General features: G+C 45.9%; 1 protein-coding gene across 18 annotated transcripts in view, besides 1 other annotated feature; it reads right to left on the minus strand.

Annotated features, from left to right (window-relative positions):
- SP110 (SP110 nuclear body protein) overlaps positions 1-15585 on the minus strand; it is a 60451-nt gene that overhangs the window by 5378 nt on the left and 39488 nt on the right. For 5 of the 18 annotated variants that reach the window (XM_011511090.4, NM_001378442.1, XM_017003968.3 and 2 more), the window contains 8 exons: positions 15431-15580; positions 13009-13077; positions 7594-7692; positions 6975-7117; positions 2281-2396; positions 1503-1611; positions 916-1065; positions 58-198 (listed from right to left, as the gene is read on the minus strand). In XM_011511090.4, the coding sequence (XP_011509392.1) occupies positions 58-198; positions 916-1065; positions 1503-1611; positions 2281-2396; positions 6975-7117; positions 7594-7692; positions 13009-13077; positions 15431-15580 (977 nt within the window). Of the gene's footprint in view, positions 1-57; positions 199-915; positions 1066-1132; positions 1205-1502; positions 1612-2280; positions 2397-5911; positions 6162-6974; positions 7118-7593; positions 7693-13008; positions 13078-15430; positions 15581-15585 lie in introns of those variants that run through there. The other 13 variants (XM_024452850.2, NM_001378446.1, XM_047444121.1 and 10 more) reach the window with 5 other exon arrangements.
- Positions 9310-9852: an enhancer, noted in NCBI's record as "OCT4-NANOG hESC enhancer chr2:231044589-231045131 (GRCh37/hg19 assembly coordinates)". NCBI's record gives its function as "activates a minimal SCP1, AML or CMV promoter by ChIP-STARR-seq in naive H9 embryonic stem cells {active_cell/tissue: H9 hESC(naive)}" and the evidence as "EXISTENCE:reporter gene assay evidence [ECO:0000049][PMID:30033119]".

Raw genomic sequence — 15585 nt, forward strand, 5'->3', positions numbered from 1 at the left:
CCAGAAATTAGGGGAAAGTAGAAAAGACGCAAAAAGGAAGCAGGAAATGCTCTTTACCTTGTAAAATGTTTTATGGTTGCGAAACATCAGGCGCATGTCTCGCACAAACCATGCCACCGTGTACATTTCCGTAATCAGCCTTTCCTTAACCAGGTCCAACCACATTGCTTCCTGAAAGGGCTCACCGTAATCTCGAATCTTGGGGACAAAGCCACCAGAGGTGACGTTAGCACAGCTGTCATCACTGGAATGGATCCAACTTAAATACAATCCAAGCCTTCATTTCCAGGGTCATAATGATAATACCATTTGACCTCTTTAAGCCAGCTATTGTTCTAGGCACTAGATAAACTAAATTCTAAGCCAAGTATATGAATATGTAATCTCCACATTTATGGGTACCATAAATAATAATGCCCATTTCATAGATGAGGAAACCGAGGGATGGAGAGGTCAAGGAACCTACCCAAGATGTCTCAGCAAGAAAGTGGTAGAGCTGAGATGGGAACCCACACAGTTTGGCATCTATGACTCTTTTTTTTCTTTTGAGATGGAGTCTTGCTTTGTCACCCAGGCTGGAGTGCAGTGGTGCGATCTTGGCTCACCGCAACCTCTGCTTCCTGGGTTCAAGCGATTCTCCTGCCTCAGCCTCCTGAGTAGCTGGGATTAGAGGTGCCTGCCACCATGCCTGGCTAATTTTGTATTTTTAGTAGAGATGGGGTTTTGCCATGTTGGCCAAGCTGGTCTCAAACTCCTGACTTCAAGTGATCTGCCCGCCTTGGCCTCCCAAAGTGCTGGGATTACAGGCGTGAGCCGCTGAGCCCAGCTGGCATCTGTGACTCTTAATCTCTAGTAGGAAAGACATTCTTCCTAAAGAGAAGATGAAACAGATACACAGGAGGAGAAGCAACTTGCCCGGTATCCCAGAGCCCGTGAGCAGTGGGGTGGAGTTTGAACCAGGTAGTCCCTCTCCAGAGTGTGCAGCAAAATCCCTGCTGCCCCGCTCCACTGCTGCCACGCTGCCCTTCTCTTCTGTTCTCCAGCTTCCTGAGCAAACTGCAGCACCTGCCAGATCAGCCCCCAAATTTCTCCAAATGCATTTTATGCAAGAGAACCGTAAAATGTGACTTACATTAAATGGGATGCCCGTAAAAAAGGAGCTTTGTGGATGACAGTAGGCCTTCAAGAGGAGGAACTCACATTTCTGTAAAATGTGAAGAGGGCTTGAAAGTGAAATGCAGCTTAGAAACAGTGAAGCCAGGCGAGTGTCTAGACATGCACACGGATGGGGCAGCCAAGCCCAGTCAGCATTCCAGCCATGCTTCCCAAGGCGCACAGGGTGTGTGGGATTTTGTTTAGACTCTGAGTTTGGGCATTAAATCGTCATCCTTTAAAGGGAGACATTGAAGGCTCCCTTTGGTACATTGCCCTGACCCTGTGCCTGTTTGTGCTTCTCGTGTGAGAAGGGAAAAGTATAGGTTTGGGGTTTGCATCCAACTCACCAGCTGGTCCTGAGGCTGCATCTGCCTCTCCAGGGTCTTAGATACATGATGGCACTGTTGGCTTCCTGAAGACCTCTTCATCCTGCAGAAGGTGCAACTCCACAGCATCCTGAGAGGTTGGACACAAGGTGAGCAGAGGGCAAAGCCCCTGGAAATGGCCACCATTCCTGTGGCTGCCACTGTCTTCCCTCAGGAAGGATGGGCTCAGCCATGAGGGTGGGACACCTCCCAGAGTGTCCAAGATCCCCACATGGGGTCTCCAGCATTGGCCCTTCCCTCGCATCAGTGGTAGCGGCAGGCGGGCAGCCTGAGGAAGGTGGTGTCACTGTTAAGTGTGGGCTCTCTTTTCCCTGTCTGAGCTGCTGGGAGCACAAAGGAACCCTGCCTGCCAGGCTTGAGTGTCAGAATCTGGGCTTTCACCTGCAGGGACCTCAGGCCTCCATCAGCCAGGTGAGACTATGGTGAAATGTGTGACAAGCCGTGCTTCCTGTCTTTCCTCAACAGGCACAGAACATAAGCTGGCTTTTCCCGTCCCCTCCTCCTTTTGGACAGGAGTCCCTGCTGTCCAGGGAATAGCATACTAGGAAAGGGCACTTCCAGGGGCAGAAGCAGTGTGGGGCCAAGAGGCTCACTGGCAGTCTCAGAGACCCAGAGAGGCCCAGAGTCTCTGGCACCAGACTGCTCTGCGTCACACCCTCGTCCCCGACGCTCACAGGTCCTGCCCTTTCCATCTGGAGGTGAGTGCTGTGTGCCCGAGGCGGGGCTGCATCCCACTCACCTCTTGGCTTCCACAGGGGGGATGTGACAGTCCTCATGGAAGACTCGTGGACAAGTACCGCAGCAGAGAAGTTGTCCCCCTTGACAGCACACCTCGCATTCATCCGAGTTTTTCCGCTGCAAGGGCAGATAACGTGGGCACCGCTAGGACCATGGAGACCCACGAATGCTGACCCTGTGGGGTTCTAGAACACATCATTTTTGTGTGTGCCAGAGTGGATATCCAAACCCAATTTTTGATGGGGGGAGCTGATGCCACCTCCCTGGGGGAAATTGCAAGACAAATGGCACAACAAGCAGAGAGTCTGGGTGGTGACCGCCGCCACCAGGACTTTTCTTCTCTGGCTGTGGCTTGCCAACAGGTTCTGCTGCGTTTTGAGCTGTGCTGCTGCCTGCTGGCAAGCTTGTGCTTTGAGCTGGGCCACTCTGGGCGCATTTGCTGAGCCCACCAGGCCTCTATTAATAGATCTGACTGACCAAAGTAAGAAATGATGATAACTGGCATTTGGGTGCAGGAGTATGGGAACTGTTGTTCCTGGTGCCTTGCCTAACTGCCCCATGGTCGTAACATAACATGGCCCTAAAATGTTCCACAGTGGGCATGGATGCTATGACCCAGTAAATAACACATTAAAATAATTAAAATTAAGTTACCTTTGGCACTTACAATTGGCTTTACAAAATGGAACTCTATGGACCTTCTCTGTTAAAATATTTAATACTGATCAATATGAATTAAAACACGGCTTTCAAGGATTGAAACTCATTATGGAAGATCTATTTAGAGAAAGGGTGATTATCCCCACTGTTTCTCCATTTAACAGCCCAATTTGGTCTGTTCTTAGGCTTGGAAAGAATGAATGGTGCCTCTCGGTGAATTACTACAACCTGAATCCTGTGACCCCACCTGTGATGGCCCAATGTTATTGAAATTACTGACTCCATCCACTTAGCAAGTGGTAAATACTCTGCAGGCATAGATTTGACTAATGTGTTCTGTTCAGCGCCTATTTCAACAGATCTCAGCTGCAGGTTGCTTTCACCCCCGAAGGGACACAATAGACCGTTATCTGGCTACCACGGGGTACCTCGACAGTTCTGCCACCATACACAATCTTTGCAGGCAGGATTTGAACTGCATCTGACATTCTCTAGGAGTACAGGTGTAACATCACCCTGAAGACACCCTTCTTTCAGCAAATTCATTTGACACACTCAGGACATTACTCACAAAGAACTCATAGAAAAGGATGGGGTTTGTGTTTCCACATGGTGGGATTAAACTAAAACAAAAAAGTATGGGCCACTGCCCCAGGCATAGTACAGGGATCCACACCAATTTCTGGCCATTGTCTGGTCAGTTGAGGGATGCTCCATCCCTGACACTGTCAAAAAATAATTATTGACCCTCTGAGTACTCACAGTGTTCTAATAAACCTCCCAGCATCCTTCAGGCCTCTTGAGTTCAAGGAAACACATCCTTCATTTGTAGATTTTAGGTAAGCCCATTTACGCTGTTACTTGCAAAATAAGCCCACTTTGAATGGGGCCCCTTCTAACAAAAGGTTCTAGAATCTGTCAAATTGCAATACAGCAGACATTAGTGCCCTCCTGAGTCTCATTCACTGTGGAAGCTTTGGCAACCTCCTCTCATGCCTCCTGGCATCTCTGGACCACCCATGATGGCCATGGGCTTCTGATACAAAAAAAAACCAAAACCCCAAAAGCTGTTCTCCTCAGCCTCACACTATATGCTGATAGAGTGGCAACTGCTGGCTGCATCCAAGCCCTTCTGGAGACGGAGGCTCTCACAGGCCAAGTCTGTGGCTCTTTACACCAGCTGCCCATCATGTGTGGGTCATGGAGGCAGCACGCTGCAGGGCAACCACAAAACACATTTTGGGAGTACCAGCATCGGTCTCTTTGTTGTACACATACATAAGTGAGACTGCAGTGGAGACAGACGGACGTGCTGCCGAGCAGCAGTGACACTGGATGATGGGGCTGAGGGCAAGGCCCGCACTGGCTCATTCTCAGTCGGGTAAACCTTCATCTTATTCTCCCAACCTGGCCCTGGAAGGTGGGACTGAGAGGCTGGGTCAAGCATGCCCCTGGCTATTATGAGCTGACATGTGGCATTAGGAGAGTTAGAGGGTATTACCATGTTGGGGCTATTAATTAATGATCTGGATTTTAAAGATTTTTTTTTTTCTGGTTGCAAAAGTAACAAATGGTCATTATAGTAATTCCAATTGTACATAAAGGTATAATACAGAAGGCATATGTCCCTGTGATCTCATCTCAAAATAAGTGCAGTTGATTCTTTTGGCTATTTTTTCACTCATAGACCTACCTACACGTTCACATAAGCAACAATGGGTTCCTTCCCCACACGTCACAACTAGCATTAAGTGTCCTGAAGCTCTCCTGACCACAAAACCATTTGGTGGCTTTCCATTGATTGAAGGATAACTCCATACTTATGAATCCATGTATTTAAACAAATATCTATATCAAAGGTCTAATATTCTATAAGAAAAGTTTAAAAAAAAACCATTCTGTAGCTGTATCAGTTTATTCTGCAATACTGATAGAACTTGTGTTCGTCCCTAATTTTTTGCTATTATGATGTTACACTGAGCACCCCTGATTCTCAGGGTATTTCAGACCAGCATGGGAAAGATGATTTATATAATAGATGGCATTGGGAGACCAGTGCCTTAAACTTTGAATGAATCCAGCCTGGTCAGGCCAGCCTCCAGGGCAAGATGGGGGAGGCACCATTGTCTCTGCTGGAAGTTCACAACTAACGGGAAGCTCATGAGTGGAGCTGATGTGTCTGGAGAACACATCTAAGCAAGTAGAGGAGGTTGAGGAGGGGGAGTTAGTGCAGCCAATAGATGACTGCCATTTCCAGCTGTAGGGATGCCCTGTAGAGACAAAGCTCAGTTCAAAGGCGTCATTCCATCCTGGTGCTACCAATAAGAAGCATGGAGGATTCAGCAATACTCAGTATGCAATCATGGATGATCCTCTTGTCCTTTCATATACTGTTCCTGTCTATTTCAATGCCTTTTCTTTTGCTTTTCATGCTGCAGCATTCTTTTTTTTTTTTTTCTGAGACAGGGTCTTGCTCTGTTGCCCCAGCTGGAGTGCAGTGGCATGATCTCGCCTCACTGCAACCTCTGCCTCCAGAGCTCAAGTGATCCTCCCACCTCAGCCTCCTGAGTAGCTGGGACTACAGGTGCATGCCACCATGCCTGGCTAATTTTTGTATGTTTTGTAAAGAAGGGGTTTTGTCCTGTTGCCCAGGCTGGTCTCAAACTCCTGGGCTCAAGGGATCCACCCACCTTGGTCTCCCAAAGTGCTGGGATTACATCGCTCTGTATAGCAATACAGAGTCTCACTATATCACTCAGGCTGGTCTTGAACTCCTGGGCTCAAGCAATCCTCCTACCTCAGCCTTAGCTGGGACTACAGGTGCACACCACCATTCCTAGTTGATTAAAAAAAAATTTGTTAGAGATGGGGTCTTGCTATGTTGCCTAGGCTTAGAGCATTTTATTTCTGACACCTTTGGTTTATAGCCATCCAAATATCCAGATCTTTTTCTAAAACACATGGACATGATGAGCTTTTTCATTTAATTTTTATTTTAGAGTCATTTGCTTCCCCATCCCAAATTAACTATGCAAATTAATTGTTTTGAAGATGCCATGCCCAAATGTGGAGGTGACTCAGAGCTTGGAAACTCAGAAGCTCTAAGGTGAGCCTCCAGACAGGGAAAGTCTGCAACATGGTGACTGAGAGGGTAGTAGAAATTCACTTGCTATTTAACTCTCTCTTGAGATTTATTCTTGGAGGACAGAGCAAAAGTCCACTCTGAAAGACAGAAGGAGTCAATGAATGAGGTTATTCTGGAGGTTTTTCTTTTGTAGATACTGGCCTTCCCACTTCCTAGTGAATGTCTGTACCCAGACATCACACTGGATCTCAAACCCAAGAAGTCAAAAAGAAAAATTAGCTCCCTCCCCCAGTCAGTTTTTCTTCTGGACCTCACTTAGTGATAAAATCACTTTTTCCCCTGTCACTCAAACCCACGACCCTAGTTCTTCTTTCTTAACCTTTCCCATCCATTCCTTTCTCCTTCCATTTCTCCCTCTCTAGATTAAAATCTTTAGGATTTCATCCTAGTGATAATTTCTTGAGTGTTGCTGAGAGAGGCCTTGTGTTGGGTCCTGTCATCATAGACACTAGTTGTTCTCAGGACAGGAATAGTGTGCTGTGGACATGCAGCGGAGAGACAGACCACGGACTGGGCAGCCTGGAAATGCTGCAGGGGGGCCAGATGAGCTGGGCCTTGAGTAGATGTCAGGTAGAGGATGCAGGGGAGTGGTTGCAGGCATCTGTCTTCAGCTAGTTTCTTTTTAGGTTCTTACATCTCTCTTCACCTCAAAGCCCTTTGCCGGCATTTAAAGTTCCTGTACTCCTTTACTTGCATTTAAAGTTCTCCACCATCAGGAACAATATGTGCTCCTAACTTTGTCACCCACAGTTTTTTTTCTATGAACATTTAACTCCTTATAAATCATGCTGTTGAATCCTAACGGGAGCTCTTCACATTTCTGCTCTTAAAGCTCCACTTCTCCTTCAAGGATTTAAACCTGTCACCTATCTGTCCCGTCATTATAATACCTTCAGCAGCTCTCCTAGGGTCATTCCTTCACAACGTATATTCCGTTTCCAGTTCTTTGCGTTCCTTCCTTTTCCTTCGACTTCAAATTCATTTGGTGTTAACCAAGTTCCATCCTCATTCCGAATGCACTTCACTGAGGATCCTGTAAGAAAAAGCCCATTCTTGGATCTACCCCCATCCTCTGTGAATTCACCCTGAACCTCTTCATCCTAATTGTGGCCTTCTACCTTTCCAGGTCAAGAGAGACTTCCTCTGTGAGGTGGAAGGAGTAGCAGGGGAGTCTGCGGGCCTCTTCTCTTGGACTGAAGCCAGCCCTAAAGCCTGACTGAGTGGTGAGGGGTGGGACAGAATGTGCATTCGTGTAGTGCCTACATGCAGCAAGGACATGGCTGTCAGTACAGCAGGGCCCATGGGTGACTTCCAGGTGGGAGTGGAGGGTCTGATTGCCAGAAATACCATGATGTGGAAGAGTTTGGAAATTCCTTCCTAAGAAGCGTTTCTTCTGCAGTCTAGCTAGCAGGGTCCATTTCCTGATCAATTACACACACGGGTATTTTCCTCCCTTCTAGTGAGTCCTTCATCTAGGGATTCCAAAGAGCAGAAGACCAAGGAACTCACCGTGTTTCATTTTCTTCTTATATAAAATCCCTTTCGCCTCACCACAGGTCACGGGGAGCTTAGAACAGTGAAAATCCACAGTGTCACTTTTGGGTTTTCCTTAAAGTAGAAGAGAACAGTTTTGTGTTATTCAGTCTTCACTCCATCTTCCTTTTGAATTCTCCCCTCCATGAATTCCAATAATGTACAGGGTATTGGGGAACGTTCTCTGGTTAGTTTGCAGGAACTCTTTCATCTCGAGTGACAGATAAGCTATGTGTACACAGTGGCCTGCAACAAACCACCACTGCCACCAACACTATATCAAAAAAAAAAACATTTTAGTGGAACATATAGGGCATCTTCAGTGAATGTGTCTTAATTTGCAAGTGAATTGGCTGTCACTGAATAGTCTTCTATTCTATAAGCATCCTGCTGATCTCTCTGTGCTGATGGAAATGTTTCTTTGCATTCATGTTGCCAGAGGAAAAAAAAATCTTCATTTATAATCTTATTTCCTGACTTAAATGAAGACTTGGGTGAGTGAGGTGGCTGGCACTGAGGGGATGGTGTCAGTCTTAATTATTTGCTGTTTCTTTTCATTTTATTGCTTCCCTGCTTCTTCCTCGATGAATAAAAGAAAACCCTGGAGAGCTTTGAACTAATTTCCCAGTTGCTCATGGAGCAGTCTGGCAACTCAGAACCCCTGGGTAGAAATCCAGAGTTTAGATTCAGGGGAAGCAGTTGCAAGAGGGTTTAAAATAAATCTCAGCAATTCCTGCTGCCTTCCCCTCCAACCTCACTATGGGTGAATTCATTAAAGAGAGACAGCAGGGGCTGTTTCTCTGGGGAGAAATGAAGGGGCTGTCCATGTCTTATGTTGAGTTACAGAGGATGTTACACCTAAAATGAATCTAGGAGAACACCTGGTCCAACTCTCTCCCTTGCCTCAAACAGTTATTGAAAGAGCTAAAGGAAAACAAATGGCAAAACAAGAGCATTGACGGAAAGGTGAAGGAACAGTATCAGCGGCGAAGAAGCCATTCATTTCTCTGGAAAGACACAAGGCAGATAGAGTGAGACTGAGAGAGGAGGGACCCTGAGAAGTGAGGATGTGATCCCCCCGACAGAACCCTACAGGATGCCTGGCCTCACAGGAGCAGGGGCTGGCAGCAAGGCTAGGCATGGGGGTGGAGGGTAGTGGGGGTGTGGGAACTTACGGTGGGAAAAACTTTGTTTCAACAGCCAGCCCTCTTGCATGGAGTGGCCAGCTCCACCATTTGTCTCTAGACTCAACTCAGTAAATATGGAACAGCAGATGAGAGCGTGGCCTTGGGAGCCAGACTGGGGGGCAGGGAGGAGTGGGGGTGGGAGGGGCTTGTAATCCTGGCTCTGCAACTTACTAGAAGGATTACCTAAGCGTGCATTACTGTTATCAAATTTGAGTGGGAAATTTGCTGCCGCAGGTTCCTAATGTGAGGGAAAGGCAGAGCTCCAGGTGACTCTGGACCACTATTGCAAACCTTGAGGGAGATTAGCACAGCTCTGGGGACCTTCCCTTCTACAGTTCTCTGTCTCCACAGAAATGTCTTCTCTAATTCCCTGTGGTGAATATAGCTTTAGGGAACACAAATGTCCCAAACACATTCACAAGCAGATGAGGGAGCAGGGGGTGGCTTTGGGGGCCACGGGTAGCAAGCTGATGTGCAGAGTTGTGAGGACAAACATCAGTCCCTTCCTTACCCAGTGGAGGCAGGCCATCAAGTGAGGTGGGGCCTTTAGACCCGAGGACTTCCAAAGCCAACTGTCCTATGCCTGAGGGCAGCCTGTTCCTAATAGTGCTAAGTCTGGCTCAGCCTCACCTACTCATCTTACCAACCAGGCCTTGAAGGATGGAACCCTGCAGCCCCAGGAACCCGGTGGGGGATGCTTGGGGCTCTCTAACGGCAGCTGGCTTGTTTGAAAGGTGAGCTGCAGCAGCGGTGAGTTTAGGTCCCCATTAGGAAGCATGAGCAAACAATGAGGAGCCTGCTGTGAAAAGCAAGCAATTAGAGAACAGAGAGCTCAGGGAAAGGAAAAGCAAGGTGGAGAAAACTAAGAAGAAAAGCCTAATCGAGATGAGGAATAGCGGCATGGTAAAAAACGAATTCATAATCCAGAAGACCAACTCCAGGAATTCCTACAGAACATGAGGAAGGAGCACAAGGTGGAAATTATGCATGGAAAGACCACAGGCCTGGGGAGTGATTTGGGAGCTCTATGATGTATACATGAGGGGTCTGGGGAGGGGATGATTGGGGGTGGAGATGGGGCGGTGGGAGGAAAAGTGATAGTCAAGGAAACAGTAAGAGCAGCAGATGCACTGTGTCATCTATCCGCATAACAATGTGTAAGAAAGAGAAGGCAATGACTGTCCTCATTTTATAGATGAGGGACTTGGGGTCAGATGTGGAGAGAGAATTGCCGGTGGTCACCATATTACATGAGGTGGAGCTGGCACTGGAATTTACACATGCCAGACCCAGTATCTAGCGCTCTTTCCACATCATCAGAAATGCCACGAGACTGCACATCATACAAGCAACAACAGCACAGATACTCTGCATTTAATGAGAAGTTACAGACAGTGCAGAAGGGAGAAGAAACTGATGCTGAGGGACAACTGTCAACGTTTGCCGGGGCTCCTGCCTCCACCAGTGTTTGAGAGTAGGTGCTTTCTAGGTTCATTTACATTTTTAGTGTAAAGGAAAAAGGGCTTGAAATTGGAACACATAGGTTGATTTTAGCTCATTCAAGTCTTTTGCCCTTTAATTGAATCTGTAAAATGGGCTGATAACACTCACTTATTATGGTAATTAAATGGCAAAATGTAGATCAAAGTGCTTTGCCAACTGTGAAGTAATGTACACATTTATATGGTTATCAGGACCACTGCATGAAGTTGTATGGGTTGTGCCCTGAGCAAGGACTCCACCTTTAAGGGGTGCTCTAATTCATATTAGAAACAGAATCAGTTTACCTGCTTAGTACAACAATCTTCCAGCAGAAGGCAGAAAAGGGTTTGGTTTCAAGAATTGGCTCTGACAGATGAGGTAGTGAATTGAGGAAGGGGCACCTTTTTCTAACTCACACACATGCATCAGATAGGCCCAGATACTGGTATTCATACTTGAAGAAGTACCAGCTGTGTGAGGCATGGGGAGCTGGACATACAGCAACACACAAGACCCATCCACTTACTGACCTCACGTGACTTTCACGCAGTGAACAGGCTGTGCACAGATCATTCATCACAGTTAAGATAAGTGCCATGAAGACAAAATGCAGGTCTCCACAAGGGCATGTCAGGGAGACCCACCCCTACCTGCTGGGAGAGAGAATGCTTCCCTGTGGAAGTGACATTTAAGGTGAGGTCTGAGGGCAAAGGTCTAATATCCAGAATTTACAAGGAACTTAAACAAATTTACAAGAAAAAAGCAAACAACACCTTTAAAAAGTGGGCAAAGGACATGAACAGACACTTCTCAAAAGAAGACATTTATGCGGCCAATAAAGATATGAAAAAAAGCTCCACATCACTGAGCATTAGAGAGCTGCAAATCAAAACCACAATGAGATACCATCTCATGCCAGTCAGAATGGCGATTATTAAAAAGTTAAGAAACAACAGATGCTGGCAAGGCTGTGGAGAAATAGGAACACTTTTATACTATTGGTGGGAATGTAAATTAGTTTAACCATTGTGAAAGACCTCGAAGCAATTCCTCAAAGACCTAGAACCAGAAATACCATTTGACTCAGCAAGCAATCCCATTACTGGGTATACACCCAAAGGAATATAAATCATTCTATTATAAATATACCTGCATGTGTATGTTCACCGCAGCACTATTCACAATAGCAAAGACATGGGCTCAACCTAAATATCCATGAATTATAGACTGGATAAAGAATATGTGGTACATATACACCACGGAATACTATGCAGCCATAAAAAGGAACAAGGTCATGTCCTTTGCAGGGGCATGATTACAGCTGGAAGCCATTATCCTCAGCAAACTAATGCAGGAACGGAAAACTAAACACCACATGGGTTCTCACTTATAAGTGGGAGTTAAACAATGAGAACACATGGACACAGGGAGGAGAACAGCACACATTGGGGCCTATCAGGGGAGCAGGAGGGAGAGCACCAGGATAAATAGCTAATGCATGTTGGGCTTAATACCTAGGGGATGGGTTGATAGGTGCAGCAAACCACCATGGCACACATTTACCTATGTAACAAGCCTGCACATCCTGCACATGTATCCTGGAACTTAAAATAAATATTTTTAAAAAAGGTGAGGTCTGAGGGTGTATAGCAAAGAAAGGGAGGAAGATAGGGGGATTCACTTTGGGGTTGGGTGGGTGAGCTGGGAGGCCCATGTGAGGAGGCCCTGAGCAGGAACGAGGTGGGAGCATTCGGTATCTGGTGACCTATGCTGTGAGGAATCAGGCTGGTGTGACCCTAGAGACACGGGTAGGGGTGGTTTATGGGTGTTGGTGACATCCTGTGTCTTGAGCTGCGTGCTGGGTGTGCGGGTGCATTTTCTGTGTGTGTGAATCCATCAAGCTGTACTCTTAGGATACATGCCATTTTCTGCAAGCACATACACCAGTGCTACTCAGTGCTCCAGCCTACGATGCGACAGGGGCTTGATCAGAATCAATGCACTGCTGTCTCCACTGAGGAATCTTGCTATGAAAACAGTGTGCTTAGCGTCACAGTTGGTTTACAAGCTCCTTATTCTTGTAGACCTGCCAAGCAGCATGCTTGTAGATGGCACCAGTCTGGGGACCCCACCTTGGGTAGCACCTATTATACTTTGATAATGAATAAAAAGGGCCAGTGTGGCTGGCGCCTAAAAAAGGAAGAGAGGGTGACAAGAAATGATGCTGAAGAAGCAAGGTATAAAAGCAGAAGAAAAATAAATGCAAGAAGAGGAGTGGGAGGGAGAGGACAGAGATGCAAAGAGGGCCGAGGGTGCAGAGAGGCTGAAGCAAGCCCAGGGTCCCAACCAACACAGGAAAAGGAACGAGAACACTGTCAGGCTGTGCTTGAATAAGGGTTTCCTTTAATTCCTAGAATGGAAGACATAGAAGTTCATTTTAGAATTTGACTTAAAGGTTTAGTGATCATCCTTAATCATTTTTGGGTCTTTGTATAGCTCTGTGTTAAAGAATCCTTCCAAGTATGGAAATGGCCACCATGCACAAGGGGGTGGGTTAGGCTGGCAGCACTCCTGATGCACCCAATTCAGCTGGTACCCATGACGGTGGAGAACAACTTTGGAGGAGAAGGGAGAGAGAAGAAGGAGAGGGCGGGTGGAGCTTCCAGCAGAGGCCAGGGCTCTGGGGAGCCCAGTGGGGAGGCGCTGTGGCTTGCTTGCTTACCTCTTCGGTGAATATTTTTCTGAAATCTCCTTTTTGAGCTTGAACAGATATCTTTCTCCTTTTTCTTTTCTAAACACAGAATTAATAATCACTTATAGCTACAAACATAGATTTATAAGCCTCATAGGTTAACAATCTTCAAGCATTTTTTCCTGTTTTTCTACCAGTTTGGAGAGACAAGTTACATATGAGTCCTTATGAAAGGACTTCCTTGTAGCATTGACTAAGGAAATACAGCAAGCTCATGTTAATAGGCAGAAAAGCTAAAAATACTACAGAAGCCAAATTTCCACTAATTAATATATGTCAATACATTTACTACAAATACTAGAATAAAGGGATGTACAGGAGTCCCCCCTTATCCACACGGCATGTATTTCAAGCCCTCCAGTGGATGCCTGAAACCATGGGTAGTGCCCACCCCTGCAGATACTATGTTTCTTCAATCTGATAACCAAGACAGCTACTAAGTGACTGATGGGTGGGCTGCGTATACAGCAGGACACACTGGACCAAGGGATGATTCGCATCCCCGAGTGGGATACAGCAGGATGGTGCAAGACTTTGTCACGCTACTCAGAACAGCGCATCATTTTTAACTTATAAATTGTTTATTTCTGGAACTTTCCATTTAATATTTTCAAACTGCAGTTGACTTCAGGTAACTGAAATCATGGATCAAAAAACTGCTTATAAAGGGGGGCTACTGTATGGCCTTATAAATATCACATAGGAAGGGCTTTTTAAGGAGGAAGTAATGGGCATAAAGCAGTGGTTAACACTGGGTGATTTTGCTCTCAGGGGATATCTGGCAATGTTTGGAAATCTATTTGTTTGTCAGGACGGGGAAGCAGCTGCTACTGGCATCTAATGGGTAGAGGCCAGAGATGTCGCTAAACATCCCATGACACACACGACAGCCTCCGAAGCAAAGAATTATTCAGTCCAAAATGTCAATAATGCCAAGATTGAGAAACTCTGGCATAAACCATACTGCTAAAGGTAAACTGATTTGTCTATCTAACTAAGCAAATGGCTCCACAACCAAAAGCTTCTTAAGTTCAAAGACAGAAACCAAATCAGAAAAACTAATAATTATAACAAAGGGTTAATTTCCCTAACGGATTTAACAAAAAAAAATGGCCAGTCTTATAGAAAAATGGGCAAATTCAAACAGATGACCCTCAAAAGAAAAAATTCCAATGTCAAATTTATTTAAAAAACAGGTAAATTGGTAACGATAGGCTAGGTAATGCTGTGGTAATTCACGATCCTCCCAAATCTCAGTGGTTTATTACAGGTGTCAGCAAACTATGGTCTAAGGGCCAAATTGGCCTACTGCCTGTTTATGTAAATAAAGTTTTATTGGAATACAGCCACGCCCATTTGTTTACGTATTTGCCTCTGGCTGCTGTCACGCTACAAAGGCAGAGTCGAGTAGTTGCATCTTCTGGTCCTTTTTGGAAAAAATTTGCCAAGCTCTGGTTTACAATGGCAAAGGTTTACTTCTCTCTCATGCTGTTTGTTCATCATAAATTAGATGAGGCTCAGCCCTACATCACTGACACTCATGGCTTCTGCAGACAGAGCAGCCTCTGTCTAGAACATCCCTGGTCTTGGGCAGAGAGAAAGAAGACAAAGGGGCTCTTAAAGCCTTGGCCTGAAAGTGGCTCTCTAACTTGGGTCCACATTTCTTTCGCTAAGTTATCACATGGGCATTCCTGAGTCCACAGGCAGGGCTGTAGACTTCTGAGGAGGTGGGGCACTGGAACACTGGAGAACCGTAATACAAGCTACCACAGCATGTTTGATCACCTGCCAAGTGAAAAGAAATTCAAAGGGAAACACCGGTGGAATATCACCCTTCACCTTTGGCCGTCATCATAGACACATCTTGTTATTTCTAGTGTTGGTGAAAGTGGAGGGAAAGGGTGTCTGTATGATGTAATGGGAGTATAAACAGACAATTTAGGCAATTTGACAACAAATATGTCCTAACTTAAAAATGCAGACTTGACCAAGCAACTTCACTTCTAGAAATGAAACATTAAAAAACAATCCTGCAAATGTGTCCACTTTGAGGATTGGTGCCACTTCCAAGACTGGGTTGGCCAGAACCAGAAAGGAGTCTCCCAAACTCAAGAGAGTAGTGGTGACTCTAATAACAGAAATGAAAACAGCAGACACTGGGGAGTAGTCATGTAAATCCACATGGCAAAGCCAAGGTGAACTGCACCCTGAGAACACTTCTTCCAACAACCACTGTCACATCAACAGATCCGTGCTCTGTCTTCATGTCCCTCTTTTCTGTACGTCTCCCTCCTTCTACTATTGACTTTACATATCTATCTGACCCTGTACTGCTCCAAGAGGCCCTCCTACATTGAGCTATTCAAATAGCAGATTCCATCATTAGCCTTACCTTTCAATCTGGACTTTCGGGCACATTTAGTTCTTGCCTTTTGGACCCTCATCATGACCTCTGAGTTCCAGGTTGAGTCGTCTTTCCTTTGAGTCACCTTATCCACCACTTGGAGCTTCTCTTGGATGCCATGCCCAGGTGAGGCTGCCCCTGGA

This window comes from Homo sapiens, chromosome 2 (genome assembly GCF_000001405.40).
Source record: "Homo sapiens chromosome 2, GRCh38.p14 Primary Assembly".
Taxonomy (NCBI): domain Eukaryota; kingdom Metazoa; phylum Chordata; class Mammalia; order Primates; family Hominidae; genus Homo; species Homo sapiens.